The sequence below is a fragment of the Homo sapiens genome, chromosome 2 (assembly GCF_000001405.40).
Source record: "Homo sapiens chromosome 2, GRCh38.p14 Primary Assembly".
NCBI classification, from domain to species: domain Eukaryota; kingdom Metazoa; phylum Chordata; class Mammalia; order Primates; family Hominidae; genus Homo; species Homo sapiens.
In genome coordinates this window covers 9,280,105-9,296,231 of record NC_000002.12, presented here as the reverse complement: position 1 = coordinate 9,296,231, position 16,127 = coordinate 9,280,105, and the positions used below count along the sequence as shown (strand labels likewise).

General features: G+C 45.1%; 1 protein-coding gene across 22 annotated transcripts in view, besides 1 other annotated feature; it reads right to left on the bottom strand.

Moving 5' to 3' along the window:
- ASAP2 (ArfGAP with SH3 domain, ankyrin repeat and PH domain 2) overlaps positions 1 to 16,127 on the bottom strand; it is a 198,867-nt gene that overhangs the window by 109,447 nt on the left and 73,293 nt on the right. For 2 of the 22 annotated variants that reach the window (XM_011510409.1, XM_047446229.1), the window contains exon 2: positions 9,120 to 9,228. The exons of the other annotated variants lie outside the window; for them this stretch is intronic. The gene's annotated coding sequence lies outside the window, so the exon portion shown is untranslated. The remainder of the gene's footprint in view (positions 1 to 9,119; positions 9,229 to 16,127) is intronic. 22 annotated transcript variants of the gene reach the window in all.
- Positions 7,739 to 8,938: an enhancer, noted in NCBI's record as "CDK7 strongly-dependent group 2 enhancer chr2:9427423-9428622 (GRCh37/hg19 assembly coordinates)". NCBI's record gives its function as "activates an origin of replication core promoter dependent on BRD2, BRD4, P300/CBP, MED14 and CDK7 cofactors, with strong dependence on CDK7, by STARR-seq in HCT116 cells {active_cell/tissue: HCT116}" and the evidence as "EXISTENCE:reporter gene assay evidence [ECO:0000049][PMID:35650434]".

Here is a 16,127-nt window from a genome sequence, read left to right as displayed (position 1 = left end):
AAACAACTTCTATCTGCATGGCTACCTAATTTCTATGTTTTCATCAGTTCAACTGGAAATATAACACAACTATTTACAGGCACAACAGGGCAGCCAGACCTGCGGTGTGAACCTGGATGTGAACTCCACCAGAGACAGCCTTAGTGCTGCAGCTCCTCCACCAAGGGACAGATCCTGAAAGCCCCTCTGTAGCTCCCGAATTCCTTCTCGGGGAAATGAGACCACTGTCAGCTAACGCCAATGGCTAGGCTGGGCCTGACAATGTGGGAAAACGAGGGAACATTTGTTCCTGGAGGGCAGTCCTGGACCCTGAGCCAATCCCTATGACCTATGAATGGTCTGCTCACCCATCCTATGGGGGAAGCACCATGTCTTTGACCTCCAGTGGCATTTGGGGGACTAGAGGGTTCTAATGGGGATCTAGCAGACACAAAAGAAAACTCACTTCACTGTTTGAGTCCTTTTTCTTTTTTAACATTCCAGTAAAGAGCCTGAGAGTTCTAGATAAATTAAATGAATTTCTGAGACCAGATTCAGCAAACAAATTCTGACAGAAACATACATGTGCACACACACACACCCGCAAACGCAGCTCCTCAGGAGCCCTCAGAAGATCTAGGTTCCAGTCCTATGTCCACCTGTAAATATCTGTATGACCTTGGTAAGTCACAGTGACGCTGGGCCTGCGGCGTCAGCTACATAAAGGATAAAAACCTGCTGGGAGATGCTCTCAAGGTCAGAGGAAGAATGAAAGAATCAGGTAAAGAGACTCAGTTTACCACACTTGGCGCATAACCAATAACACTAACAAAAGTAACAGCAGCAACAGGCGTCACTTATTCAAAGCACAAACTTCACATATATTTTTTCTAAACTTCGTAAGACATGTATTATTTCTCATAACACTATTAGGCAATTAGGGCTCAAAGAGATCAAATAATTCATCCAAGGAAACACAGAAAGTGGCAGAGCTGGGATTCAAACCCAAATTTTCTGATTCCAAAGTCCACTCTCCTACTCTACTACACGATGTTTGTTTTCATCGTTAAAAAGTTTACCTTGTCAAACAAAAGTATCTAATTTTTAGATTTTTAAAATCCAGTTTCACAGATGGATCAATAATTCCTTCTGTTTTACTCTATTTATAATTCTAGAGTGTGGTTAACAGTGAAGGATAGGTCCTTTCAAACCACATACTATTTTTAAACTATCTCAAAATTAGCGGTCAAGACATGGGCAGTTTAGTTTCATTGGGTTCAGGAAGGGGGCTGGTGGCCACAGGCAGGCATCTGTCACTACACACTGTCTACTGCATGACAGAAACAGGAACGCAACCTCCATGGTCCTGCTTACTCCCTCGCTCGCTGCTTTCTGAGCCATGGGTCTTTCAAGAGATGACAAAGGAGGGGAGCTGGGCCGTGGTGTCCTCCTTCACGGTGCTGGGCAATGAATGCAAAGCCCAGCAGGAGAGAAGCTGAAGACTCTATGCAGCCTCGTGGTGTCCCTCAAACCAAGAGGAGGACTGGACCTCAGTGTTGCTCTAAGTGAACACCCAAAGGGAAGGGACTTCGTATAAAGGTCAACGCCTACTAGGTGGCTTGTAAGTCTTTTGTTCAGTTTAACCTGAGCACTAAGAGTTGGCTATTATTATCCCTATTTTCTTCTGAATCAAGTGCAGTTCAGAGAGTCATGTCACCTGCCCCAGACCATAGAGTTGGTAGGAGGATCGGTGCACTTTATGGACCACGCAGGCTGCCTCCAGCCCTTGGTCCTCCAGCCCTTGGTAGGAGAGAGGAGCCGGCCTTCTCACTGATAGTAGACTTTATGTTCCAGCACCAAGAAATACAAAAGCACTCCTTATCATCCCTCCTTCTGGGCTCCTCAACTGACTACCTGGTGTAGGTTAAGTTTTTTTCTTTTTAAAAAAATTAGTGGCCGGACACGGTGGCTCACACCTGTAATCCCAGCACTTTGGGAGGCCGAGACAGGTGCATCACCTGAGGTCTGGAGTTTGAGACCAGCCTGGCCAACATGATGAAACGCTGTCTCTACTAAAAATACAAAAATTAGCCAGGCATGGTGGCACATGCCTGTAATTCCAGCTACTCGGGAGGCTGAGGCAGGAGAATCACTTGAACCTAGAAAGCGGAGGTTGCAGTGGGCAGAGATCGCACCACTGCACTCTAGCCTGGGCAAAAGAGCAAGACTCTATTCTCAAAAAAAAAAAAAAAAAAATTCTTGTCCTTATACATCTTCTAAACGATGTATTGATCCCCAGCAACCCCAAGGTGATCAATTAGTTCTTTGGCTCATCATCACCATCATCATCTCATGGATTTACGTTTACAGTGCTTTCATCCACTGCAATCAGCACTGTCTTCTGATGCTCACACTGTACCAGTTGAGGTCAGTGGGAATCTTTGTGCACTGGCCTAGTTGGGGATTTTTAGATGTATTTTTCATCCTGCAAATGAACTTGAAGCTTCCTGCTGAAGCCCATAAGCCCCGTGTCTTCCTCTAACACCTAGCACGGTGCCCACCACGACAACAGCCATCCCTCCATGATTAACATGGCACTGACTGACCCACTGCTGCAGATCACCCCAAGGTGAAGATTTTCCTACTAGAGAACAGAAAATCATTCAGTGCCTTTGTTTTTCTTTTGCCAAAAACAACCTTAAAACAGGAACCTAAAATAAATAGCTTGGGAATAAAGTTTCTGGAAAGATCTCAAACTGGGTCTATCAGCTTTTATTTACAGAATTGTGAAAGCTGTTCTTCTAAAAAGAGCTCACACTCTCACCTCCCCCTTGTTCAAATGTATCTTAAACTCTAATTCTCATTAATGATCCAGATCCAATAATCACTGACCTGGGAGGGACTTTGGAAAATAAGAATCTGAGTCACAGAGACCATGCTAGGACAAGACTTCGTTTCTTCTCAATTCTAAGCCATCACCCCTTTATCTCCCCCACCTCACTGCACGAAACCCATCAATCCCTGCAAAAGGATGAACTGAGAGACTCTGGCAGAGAAATCGATCATGAAGCCAGCATGCATGTGTACATACAGAGTTTAGAGGCAATGACTAGGTTTTGTTGTGTGCTTTTTAGTTTACTGGATTCTGTTATTTAAAAAAACTGGTATCAAGGAGAAGGCCCAGTGCAAATTGTTTCAGCAAAAATTGCTGGATACAAAAAGGACAAGAATGGCTCCTTTGCGCCCCCTCTACGGGCCACACATGTAGATACGGCTCTTGACAGGTCAGTGTGGCCCACAGCACAGTGAGGAAGCAAGCCACCAACACAGCACTGCCAGAGGATGGGCGTCCCCCAGCCAACTCACCTTCAATCACCTCCTTTTTCATCTCAAACATAAAACTTACTATTTCCAGCCCGGCAACAGGGATGTGACGGTATGCTGGGGTGAGATACAAGGACACATATGCTCATGGCTGGGATGAATGCCTGGGGAAAGATATGTCAGTCTATGCACTGATCACTTACAATGCATCAGGCAATGTGCTAGGCGCTGAGGACTCAGATGGCAAGGAGACATTGAACTGGGGCTCCAAGGACAGGTAAGACTTGTCGAGTAGAGAAGGAGCAGATCACAGAAACAGACAGGCATTAGCCCCAGGGGAATACCAGGGAGTCCTATGTGTTCCCACTGTTAATACTTTCTCTGTTTTTCTTTTGTTTTTGTTTTTGTTTTGAGATAGAATCTCACTCTGTCACCCAGACTAGAGTGCAGTGGTGCAATCTCGGCTCACTGCAACCTCCAACTCCTGGGTTCAAGTGATTCTCCTGCCTCAGCCTCCCGAGTAGCTGAGACTACAGGCGCACACCACCACTTCTGGCTAATTTTTGTATTTTTAGTAGAGATGGGGTTTCACCATATTGGCCAGGCTGGTCTTGAACTCCTGATCTCATGATCCACCCTCCTCAGCCTCCCAAAGCCACCACGCCCAGCCTACTTTCTCTGTTTTAAAGCCCCTGTCTGCATCCAGCTCTCAACTCTCAAAATCGCCACAGGGCAGCACAGGTCTCATTGTCCCCACCTCCTCAGGGCTGCTATACTCACTGCTGAGTCCTTTCATTCCATGGATCCTGAAAGATGACCTAGTCTAAACATGGAAACCAAAGCTCAGAGAGGGTGATGACTTGCTCAAGGTCACACAGTGAGTTTGCAGCAGAGCTGGAACAAGAACTCGGGTTTCCTGACTCTGAGTCCAGTGCTCTTCCTCCCACAGCAAAAACCGTTTCTTCATTTGCTAATGACATTGTCGCTATCTTCAGCTCTTAGCCTAGATAAGAGCTAAGAGCTGAAGACAGCGACAATGTACAACCTTCCAGTCAAGTGCATGTACCATTAACCTGAACACCAAGTGCTGTCACCAGCATAACAGAACGAAGGCAGGGTGCACCAGCCTTATGGCTACCCAGCCCCAGCCTCCTTGCTGACCCAACAAAGACCCTCCAAACCCCTGCTCCAGGCCAGACCACAGGCCACTTGGGAATCAGGCAGAGGGAAAAGCACTTGCTGACACCCCACATTCCAACCTTCCATGCAGACAGCTCGGCGAAGGGAGCGTTTAAGGAGAGACATATGTTCTCTATGGCAGCAGCCTGGTGGAGACTCTCCCTAGACGGATGACATGACGATTACTACTCAAATGTGTGTCACGACACGAATGTTGTGATGTTGTGCACAACTCTGCACAGTGGAGACCATTTCCTCCGGCTGTCGGCTGTACATGCCACCTGTTTCCGACCTCACTTGTGGCGCATGATCTCATGGGAATGCAATTTCTTCAAATCAAACATCATCCCTGTTTCTTAACAGGGTCTCTACTTAGTGGACATCTCGTGAGAGAGAACCATTTTCAGAACTTTATTTCTAGAATCATCCCAACTAAACGGCTGAAAACATATTTTCATTTCCAATTTACTAATGTGTATCATTCTTCTGGATAATCCCACTTCCAGAAATCTATCCTAAGGAAATAATCAAGGTGATCAGAGATGTGTGTACAGAACATTTATAAAGAGTGAAAATTTAAAATGTGTTAAGTTCCAACAATATGAAAATGGTTAAATTAACAGTATTTCTACAAAATGGAATATTATGTTGGCTTTTAAAATCATGATATAGGAATATGGTAGGAGCAGAAAGCCAAGTTTAAAAAAGGGAGGACATAAAATTAGATATTTAGTCTCAATTTTGCAAAAAGTGAAATGTAGAGAGGAGGTTGAAAAGATAATACATCAAAATGCTAACAGTGGTGGGGAAAACTGAGCACTTGCTAGCAGTCAATAAACTGTCATATGCAAGGCTGTTATATACTAGGTCCCAGGCCAAGTGCTTTCTAGATGTTATTTTATTCTCCTCTGAGTGGACAAGGAAACAGACTGTCAGAGTGTGAACAAGCCCAGGATCCTGCAACTTCTAAGAGGCAGAGCTGTGTTCCAAGTCGCAGTGGGCCTCAGACCCAGCGCTCACCTGAGCCTCTGCTGGTTATAAAGATACTGAGATCCTGCCAGGCTCAAGACTTGCTTGCTTTAGTGCTTTTCTGAACTTTCCAAATTTTCTAAACTAAGCTTATCTTAGCTTTATAATAACAACGTAAGGAATAAATAAAACTTTAAAAAGAAATCTGAAGCACCAGCTCTAATGGCTAGATTGTTACAGTGCTCTGTGCCTGTGCCTATTAAGAACATTAGGCCAGGTGCAGTGGCTCACGCCTGTAATCCCAGCACTTTGGGAGGCCGAGATGGGCAGATCTCTTGAGGTCAGGAGTTCAAGACCAGCCTGGCCAACAGGGCGAAACCCAATCTTTAATAAAAATACAAAAATTAGCCAGGAGTGGTGGCAGGTGTCTGTAATCCCAGCTCCTCAGGAGGCTGAGGCATGAGAATCACTTCAACCCAGGAGGCAGAGGTTGCAGTGAGCCGAGATCGTGCCACTGTGCACTCCAGCCTGGGTGACACAGCGAGACTCCATCTCAAAAGAAAATAAATAAATAAATAAATAAATAACATTAGAATATGTCTTTCTCTCCCAAAGCTTTCCCTGGACAAGGTGACGGGAGGGACACAGCCTTCGGAACTGAGTATACCTGTATCATCTTTGACAAGACAGAAGTAGCCACAACCAGAAGGGGTTGAACAAGAATGTCCTCCCTATTCATAACCCCTGAGAGCTCCCGTGCAGGATGAGCAACTGGAAGGATGCCTCTCACCGGCTTCTTCCTGCCACTTCCTCCGCCTTCTCCAACACCCCGGGCTTGTTCCACTTTCAATACCCATTTCCATCATCTTTCCTAGGAAGTCCCTTGGAATGTGATTCCTCAAGAAACAGCCAGTCTTTGTGGATGGTACCCCAGGATGTATCTAGTCTGGTTGTGTTCAGCACAGGCAGCTAGCAATGGAGTTCACTAATCAGGCCAAGGTGTGCGCTATTAAAATACAAAACCTGTTGTCTATGATCATCCCATCCTCTTTGATCCTGCCTTATATTAATGATCCCATCCTTCCAGTGATGTTCAAATGAGTTCAAAGTCTGTGTGAATAACTAAACGTCACCCCAATGACCTCCCTGTGAAGCTCCTACTGCTTGTAGGAGTACACTTGGAAGGCAGGTGAGAGGGTGAAGAGTGGAGACTGGGCTACTGCATATTTTTTTTTATGTTGATGGTTTCTGTCCCTTTAGGCTTTAGAGTACAGAATGTATCCGCATTTACTTTTATTCATTCATTGTGTGCTTCCATTACGGGTCAAGAATATTTCTGGTTACTAAAGAATAAAATCCAATCACACTGAAAGTCTATTCTCCAGCAAGCACTAATGAACACAAAGATTCATCAAACAGAGCCCCTACCCTCAAGAAGCAAGCATCCAATAAGTGAGAAAGACTCAGCCCATCAGTTCAGTGCAGCGACACAAAGGCAAGAAACAAAATGAGCTCTGGGGAATTCAAGGCGCTTGGTGTGTCCAGAGCATGGGGAAGGGCTGGAGAGTCAGGCAGGAGCCAGAGATGAGGAACTTCATCCCAGGTAACGGAGAGCAGCCAAAAGGCTTCTAAGAGATCTGCATTCAAGAAAGATAATAAACCTTGGTACCTGCCAACACACAACTTAGCAAGACAAAGATAAACATGCGAAAACAATCCACTGTGATGTAAATTACACGAGGTGGAAACACAGCACTCTATGGGGAAAGGAGTACATTTTCTGGGGGCTGGTAACAGAAAAGGCTTCTTGGAGCAGATGACATTTAGAGGAATTTCCTCATTGAAAATGTAGTATGGCATGAGATTAAAACTGAGCTACCAGCTGCTTGACTCACCCTAGACTCTCCTTAACCAGAGAGCTGCTTCCCTCCTAGGGGTGCTCTGAGACCAAATCAGGGAAGGAGAAGGGGGTTGGAGGTGGTGGGAAGGGGGTTTCACTAAAAAACTTGCAGGGCTCTCCTTTAGCCTGGAGACAGGCTACCCCAAGGTGTCTGGGGTTCAAAGCCAAGAGGTGAATTCAACATTTGTTGTATGGGGAGTACAAGCTATTAGAAATTTTACTCCCAATTATATTCACATCCTTTAATGGAGGAAGAGTTCATGTTGGCAAAGCAATCTGACTCGCTACATTACAGAATGTGCATTTTGCCAGGGTAAGCAGCTTTCAGCCCTTCATTTTTGCCACGTCATACCCCATGACCCCACGCTCACCACAGTGATGACTTAAAAACACACGCTGCCCCCACCCAACTCCATGGAGGGCACAGCCCCTGGGAAGCAAGCTGACTCCTGTGGTTTCACGAGATCCTGGAGCCTCACCCTCAGGGACAAGCAGCCCTTGGAAAGTACATGGTCTCTAAAGCCTCAGATAGTAGCTACCATGAACACTGTGGAGATGACATACGTGTAGAAATATCTTTCATCCTTACAACTCTGCAGGATTTTACAGATGAGGAAACAGATGAAGTCATCGTGTTGATTTGGTAGAAGATTTAAGCTCAAGGTCTGAGCTTTTTTGCTTGGTAGGTTGGGTTTGCGGACAGGTTTATGGGGGTATGGGCATCCCAAACAGTGTATGCAAAATTATGTAAAGGTACCTTTTCCTGGAGGGATCATCCAAAACAGCCTTCTTATTTTTACTGATGTCTATGATAACCAAAAGATTAAAGAACCACTGATGAAACTGCAGCCCCATGTCTTACAGATGCATGCGGCCAGCAGGTTGGCCCACAGACTGGCTGACTATAAAAGCCAGCCAAATTAAATAGCAGATACCTCTGAACCAAAGTATGATTCATGCCAACACTTGGACGTTAGTTAAGTCACAGACCTCTGTGTTCCTTCAGAGGTACCCTCCTTCCATGACTAATGCAGTGGTCACTGCGGACAGGATTCCACAAGTCACCATCTAAATTCCAATCATTGTTGTTAGCCAGCAGCGGGGAGAAGGCTGGACTCCAGAGTCTCACAACTGGAAGACATCTCCAGGGCCTTCGAGCCCACGTCCTCACCTCCCTCTATAACTTCCTCAGAGACAGAGGCCGTCCACCCGCTGCAGGAACCTTCCAACCACCAGCTCGCCGCTCAGTCTGCTCACCCAGTTATCCTCTCCCTCATATCTGAGTCAAGGCTTGCTCTTGTGAAAGCCTCCTCTAGAGAGGAACAAATACTATGTCTACCTTCCTCAGCCAGAGAAAGCCCTTCATGTACGCCCTCTCCTGCCCCTTCCGAAACCAGGAGCCCCGCGTCCTTCAGATATCCGTCCTACAAGGAGGTTTCTCCATCCCTAAGGTTTTCAGGTTCTTCTTTAAATGCTGCTCTTACAACTAAATAATGAAACAACAACCTTATTTATAAGCACCAAAGACTTCACTGAGGTCATGTGTGGCTCACCTTTGGGGCATGTGCCACGTACTGGCTCACACTGACCCTGTAATCAACCAAAACCACCTGGAATTTTTCAGAAGGACTACGATGGCTCAGCCAGGTGGCACGTAGGGTGTTCCCCACGTTGCTGCTTGTTTTCTCCACCGTGTGCCCCCAGCAACTTCCCGCCTCAGCACCAGGCAGCATGCCGCAGCAGTCAGAAGCAGAGACGGGACGCTCACCTGGTTTTGAATCTCAGCTCCTCCAACTGTTGGCTAGATGACACTGGCAGATCACTACTCAGTGCCTCTGTGAGCTCATCTGTCAATGGACAGGACCCAACTCACAAGGCTGTAAGGATGGAATTCACATAAAGTTTTTATTTAGCTTTATAATACAAATATTCTAACAAATACCTCATGAGTATTTATTACCACTATGCTTCTACCCTCGTTTGTGAATATCAATAAAAATATTCTTTATCATCATTTATCATCTATTCCTTTTTAATCACACACGGTGTACATAAATTTTGCATCCTGAATTTTATTGCTGAAGATTTCATCACAAGCATTTCTCTTCCTGTTGCTGTATAAACATAATTCCAGCAAGCAGCTAAATCCTAATTCAGCTATATATAGGAGGCATCCAATTTCTCACTTTGATAAGCAGTGCAACAACAAAGTGAACATCTTTGTGCATGGATCTCCTTCCACAAAAAGATTGTTATTTTTCTTGATGTGTACCACCAAACTGCTTTCCAGAAACTCTGCGTGCATGTTTTCAGTGCCACAACAATGGAGCAGAGTACTAGTTACTGTAAGCTTGCCAAACAGTAAAGATTATTCTGATTTTGTTATTTTCTCATGTAACAGGTAGAAATCAGATACAGTATATATATATATATTTTTTTTTTTCCTTTTTTAAAAAAAATCCTTTTCCTTTTTTTCTGTTTTGGAGACAGGGTCTCACTCTGTCACCCAGGATGAAGTGCAGTGGTGCAGTTTCAGCTCACTGCAGCCTCAACCTCCCAGGTTCATGTAATCTTCCTGCCTCACCCTCCCAAACAGCTGGGACTACAGGCATACACCATCATGCCCAGCTAATTTTTGTATTTTTTTGTAGAGGCAGGGTTTCGCCATGTTGCCTAGGCTGGTCTTCAACTCCTGAGCTCAAGCGATCCATCTGCCTCAGCCTCCCAAAGTGCTAGGATTACAGGCGTGAGTCACCGTGCCCAGCCAGTATCTTCTTAATGCACAGTGAAACTTCATTTCCTCAACTATTATATATATTTGTTCTGAACTGCCCTGTTCTAATTGATAATATCTACAATAGAAATAGTTTTCTGTATGAATTTGAAGTGTATTTTAATATCATATTCCAATTAACACTGCAAACAACAGGCAGGAACACACACACAAAGTTGTTGTATTCTCATTTTCTTTTGTATGTGGGAGATGGTAAGGATTTGAGGGAAAATCAGCATTTCTTTGTACTTTCAAGAATGTGATAATTTTCTAGGATATTCTGATTGAGGGTAGGAATATCACTCTCGATAAGAATGTTCTAACAAGTCCTTATGACAGAATAATTCTAGAGAAGTGAAAATGAAAATCTTCTGTTGCTTCCTTCTTGATAGAGATGAATTTTTCCACCCACTGATATGTCAAACAGCTAAAAATGTTAGCTTCAACTTCCTGGGGTGTGGAAGGAACACCTTTGGGCTGAGCCAGAGCTTGGGAAATTTTAGACAAGTAAGAGTTTAAAATAAATAAGCAATCCATCACTGAGTGGCAAACAGTTTCTCATAAATCATTATGACAACTGCTTTTGGAAACCCAAGCTAAGACTCTCCAGAAAATACAGCTGGCTGGGTTGCCATCATTTTGAAGACTGGGAGCAAACATAATGCACTGACTATTGTGGAAGAAGACTACTGTTTTGTATACACGTGGGACATGCAGATACCCTTTTGTCCCAGTTCAGTGTTTGAAGTGGGGATGGGGGGTTCTGAGGTAGGATTCTCAAAGTCCAGTGCCGTCACCTGGGAGCTTTTTCAATTAGCAAATAAAATACTCAGGCTCCAACCCTGACCTGCTGAACCAGAAACTCAATCCCTATTTTAACAAGACCCCGGGGTATTCTGATACTCTCTCCAGTTTATAACCACTGCTCTAATGCAGGGATTCAAAAACTTTTTCCTAGAAAGTCAGAGAGTAAATATTTAAGCAGGGCACTAACCCCATCATGAGGGCCCCACTCTCATGCCCTCATCTAAAGCTAATTACTTCCCAAAGGCCCCATCTCCAGAGACCATCACACTGTGGGTTGCTGAGGCAATACTGAGGTTATTGTGCAGGTAACGATGGTAAGAAACCATTCTTAGCTTTCAGGCTGTGAAAACACAGGTGTCTGGCCACAGTTTTCCAGCCTCCATTGTAAGGCATCTTAAATCTTCCTTCTACATAAATCCATATAAATCCTCAAAGAATAGAATACAGGGCCTGTCGTAACACACACCACTTACATCTAAAATTGTAAGTTCACCCCTCCTACACTAAGAAAGCAGTGTAAGTACATACAGCAGGAACCTGATAATGTATAAACACTCAGTATTTACTGGGCACCTATTACCCGCCCACACCCATGGCAGCCACTGCAAGGAACACACAGGAGGTATGTCACAGCTGTCACACTTACCACGTGTATGTCCAGAACCATGCATGGCACTTTTTCATGTTATCTCACTTAATCTTCACTAGCAATCCTATGACCTATTAAATTCCCATTTTACACATGAGGAAATTGAGGCTCAGAAAGGTAAAATAATCGTCCTAATGTCACAGGCTTTTTGAGTGGCATTGCTAGCTTTTAATCAAGGGTTCTTGGATTCTAATACCTACGTCTTCTTTATCCTAAATGACACCATCTCCCAGAATTGGTCTTTCACCTCAAGGGCTTCTAATTAACTGAGAAAAGATCAACAGATACAAAACTACTAGAGAACAATCAGGAGCAATATTTAAAGTGTTAACAGTGCCTGCATGTTAGGTACCCTTTAATTTGTAGCTGAACAAAACAGTGGAAACTGATTCAACCTCCAAATCCTAAGAATTCAGGAGAGGTGTGGTAGACAGAATAACGTCTCCTCCACCACCAGATGCCCACCTCCTAATCCCTGGAACTTGTGAGTACGTTATGCTACTTGGCAAAGAGGAATTGAAATTGTGGATGAAATACAGTTGCTAATCAGCTGAACTTGAGATGGGGAGATTATCTGGATTATCTGGATGAGGCCAATGTCATCACAAGGGTCCTTATATGTAGAAGAGGGAGGCAGAAGAGTCAGTGTTTGCTATGGGACTGAATTGCGTCCCTTCCCCCAGATTCATATATTAAAGCCCTAATCCCCAAGGCAATGGTGTCTGGAGATGGGGCCATCGGGAAGCATAATAATTAGGTTTAGATGAGGTCAAGTGGGTGAGGCCCTCCTGATGGCATTAGGGTCCTTATAAGAGGAGAAAGTGGACATCTTGCTTTCTCTCGCTGCCATGTGAGGGTACAGGGAGAAGGCAGCTGTCTGCAAGCCAGGAAGGAGAGGAGAGCCCTCACCAGAACCCATCCACACTGACACCCTGATCTTGGACTTCCCAGCCCCCAGGCCTGTGAGAAAATAAATTTCTGTTGTTTAACCCACCAATCTATGGTATTTTGTTATAGCAGCCCGAGCCATCTAAGTGTCAGAGCAATGCAGTGTGAGAAAGACACCACCGGCCATGACCAGCTTTGAAGATGGAAGGGAGCCGTGAGCTAAGGAATGCAGGTGGCCTCTAGGAGCAGGAAAAGGACACCGATTTCCCCTGAAGCCTCAGGGAAGGAGCCCTGTTAACATCTTCATTTTAGCCCAGTGAGACCCATGTCGGGTTTCCCATGGCCGAACTGAAAGATAACTTTGTGCCATTTTAAGCCAACTCATTTTATGGTAATTTGTTACAACAGCAATAAGAAACTATTACAGGGAGGCCGAGGCTGGTGGATCACTTGAGGTCAGAAGCTCGAGATCAGCCTAGCCAGCATGATGAAAACCCATCTCCACTAAAATTACAAAAATTAGTTGGGTGTGGTGGTAGACACCTGTAATCCCAGCTACTTGGGAGGCTGAGGCAGGAAAATCACTTGAACCCAGGAGGCGGAGGCTGCAGTGAGCCGAGATCATGCCACTGCACTCCAGCCTGGGCAACAGAGTGAAGCACCATCTCAAAAAAAGAGAGGAAAAAAAAAAGAATCTATTACAAGAGAGTCAAAGAGGGCTACGCTGAAGTCAAAGAGAGCTAAGGCTTGATGAAAATGGGTGGGGAAGCAAGGGCAGGTCCCCTGCAGGTGACTGGGATGGGGGAGTCCGTTTACAGACTGGGTGGGGCTGTGCAAAGACACAGAAGTACAGCTGGCACACACTCAGGAAGCAGTGACAGGCCAGCAGCCTGCAGTGAGGGACACTGGTACAGAGATGGGTCAAATGGGGCCAATCTGTGACAAATCAGGAAAGCAGGCAGGAAATCTTGGTCCCAAAGAAATTAAGAAACATGAGACAAGACAAGGAATATGGCAGTATGAAGCATAAATGCTAATTTATTCTCACTGTTCTTTCAATCGTACATAAAATGAGCGCTCTTCCTATACAGGAATTGCCTTTGGTCTTTATTCTCGTGATCAAAACACTATGGGGACTTCTCCTTTGGAACCAGCTGCCTTCAGAGCCCATGACTGTAGTTACAGTGCACCGAAGCCAACTGTGGTCGCTGGCACTCAGTCCCTTCTTGAATATGCCTGACTTATTTCTGACATCTAGTTCTAAAAAAATTTAATCTATCCTTAGACTTCTCTACTAAATATATGCAAAAGAACGTGCTACTAAAAGCAGTTCTAAAGAGTTCTAAAGACACTGTGAATGATGTCATCAACATGACAGGAGAAAGTATCACGTTTCCTCAGGTGACTTCTTTGCAGTAGACAACGCTTGTTCCGAAATAAAGATTTCAGGATCAGGCTCTGGTTTTAGGACTTAGGACTTTTCAGGACTCAGACTCATGACCTTAGAATAACTCAAACTTGGCATGACATAATAGATGGCTAAAGGATGACAAAAATAGGAGACCCCCTCCAAGGTCACATGCCAGGCTGTTATGTGCGGGGCCTCAAAAAGGACATGAGCCCAAGGAGCTACGTTAAAATCCCAGCCCTGTCACTGTAGAGCTTTGTGACTTTGAACAAACTTCTCAACTTCCTTGGACCTCAGTTTTCTTTCATAAAGTGGCAAATGCTATTTTAAGCAAACAGCAGAGCATGAGCAGAGGGAAGAAGGCATAAAACGTGGCTCTCTGGGGAAAACTGCAAGTTATTTCAAAGAAGGGCACAGAGGAGTCCAGGTGGGGAGGGTCGGGACAGGTGGCCTGAGTCCAGGCAATGCACAAGAGCTCGGAACTCATCTGGTGCTCTGCAGTATTTACTCACCTGAGGCTCACAGTGGGGTGATCAGGGGAGGCAGTGACAGTTTCATCGACAGATGAATTGGGAAAGGGTTAAGAACGATAACCACTCACAATCCACATTACTAGCACATTAAAATCTTTGGATGGATCTGTGGTAAGAGAACCATCTTTATCCCAATTGCCCTAAAATTCTGAAGCCCACAGAGGCCTTCCTTCTCTCTCCCATGCTCTGGAACTGACTTCCACGAACTTCAAAGAGGGTGATGAAAAAATGCTATAGAGTTTTAGGCAGAGAAGTAACACCAGTGGGGTTGCATTTTAGCAAACGACGCTTGGGGGTGGTTAGAAATAGGAATGAGGTTTGTGGTACACGCTCAGCAATATAGGTCAGCATGGCAAATTAGACAGAGGTGCTGTTAAATTCCTGCAGGCCAGCTTCCTGACACCGAAGCACTAGCGCCTTCTCCCTTCAAATGCAGGGCTGTTTATAAGCTGTACTGCCAGCCACTGGGCCAGCCTTGGGAGTCACACAAGTCTCTCCTCCAGACGAGCAGCAGCTACACAGCCAGTGTTTGCATAAGACACAGATTATTTCATTTTTATTTCTGATAAGAGCAACCTTTTCAACATATGACTATAAAATCATTTTTGAGTCTGACCAGAATATCAAATATCCCTCAAGTTATAAACTCAAAAAGTCCAAGTGAACGCAGTAAAAAAAAAAAAAATCTTCCAAGATACTTTTTGAAATCTGGTGCTTGTCAATGAAACTGGGCGTACCATTTCTTAGTGACTCACTGAAGTCTTCAAGATGTCACCCGTGTGACAGACACACTGAAGGCATGGTGGCTTTGAAACAGAGTGGGCCACTCACTGCACACAACCCTGACACAGCAGTAAGACCATCAGGGTCTGAGCTCCAGCTGCACAGACATCTTGGGAACACCCAGAACTCTCTGATTTGCAGGTTACTCATTTGTATAAGGAGAATCAGTTGTTGACAAGATTAGCACAATGTACAGAAAGCACAAGATACACAGTAAGTGTTCAAAAAAATCAAAACTATCATTATTGCTCCCTGCCCCACACTTAATCCAGGTAAAAAAGCTAGAGACGGATGGCCACCTTCTGTATCAGTTTTAGAAAAGGCCTGTCAATTTCCGCTGCTGTAATTCTGACTGGGGTTGGGGTGAATCTTCAGATCAGTTTGGGGAGGCCTGACACTAACAGTGGTGACTCTTCTAACCCCTGTGCATCACATATTTCTCATTTAGGTCTTCTTTCATTTTGGTCAGCAGCGTTTTGTACTTGTTGATGTAGGATTCCTGTGCGTCTTCTGTTAAATTTGTTCCTAAATACACTTGGCAATGCTCAACTGTAACATTATCCTGCACCTGGGATTTCCTGCTAGATTCTTCCCGATTGTGGCTTGCACAGCTCTCATGGGGGGAGAATCAAGAGCGGCAACTGGAGCTTGTGCCCGCCCTATTGTAACTGGTGGGGGCGGTGGGGGGGAGCAGGTGGAATGTGTACTTCCAGGCTCTTCCCCTTCCCTCCTGACACCACGACCATCTAAGGCACTCCCTGTCCTCCTGTTCCAATCACCCCTTTCACTAAAGAAAGACACCACGAGGGTGAGGGGACACAGTATAGATGAAGGGACCTGACTACTTCAGTGGGAGCAGACCCCAGGCCCCTCCTCCTCCCACCCTGTCACCCAAACTCTATCTGCACCTGAGCACGGGCAAGCTCCCCTGAGCA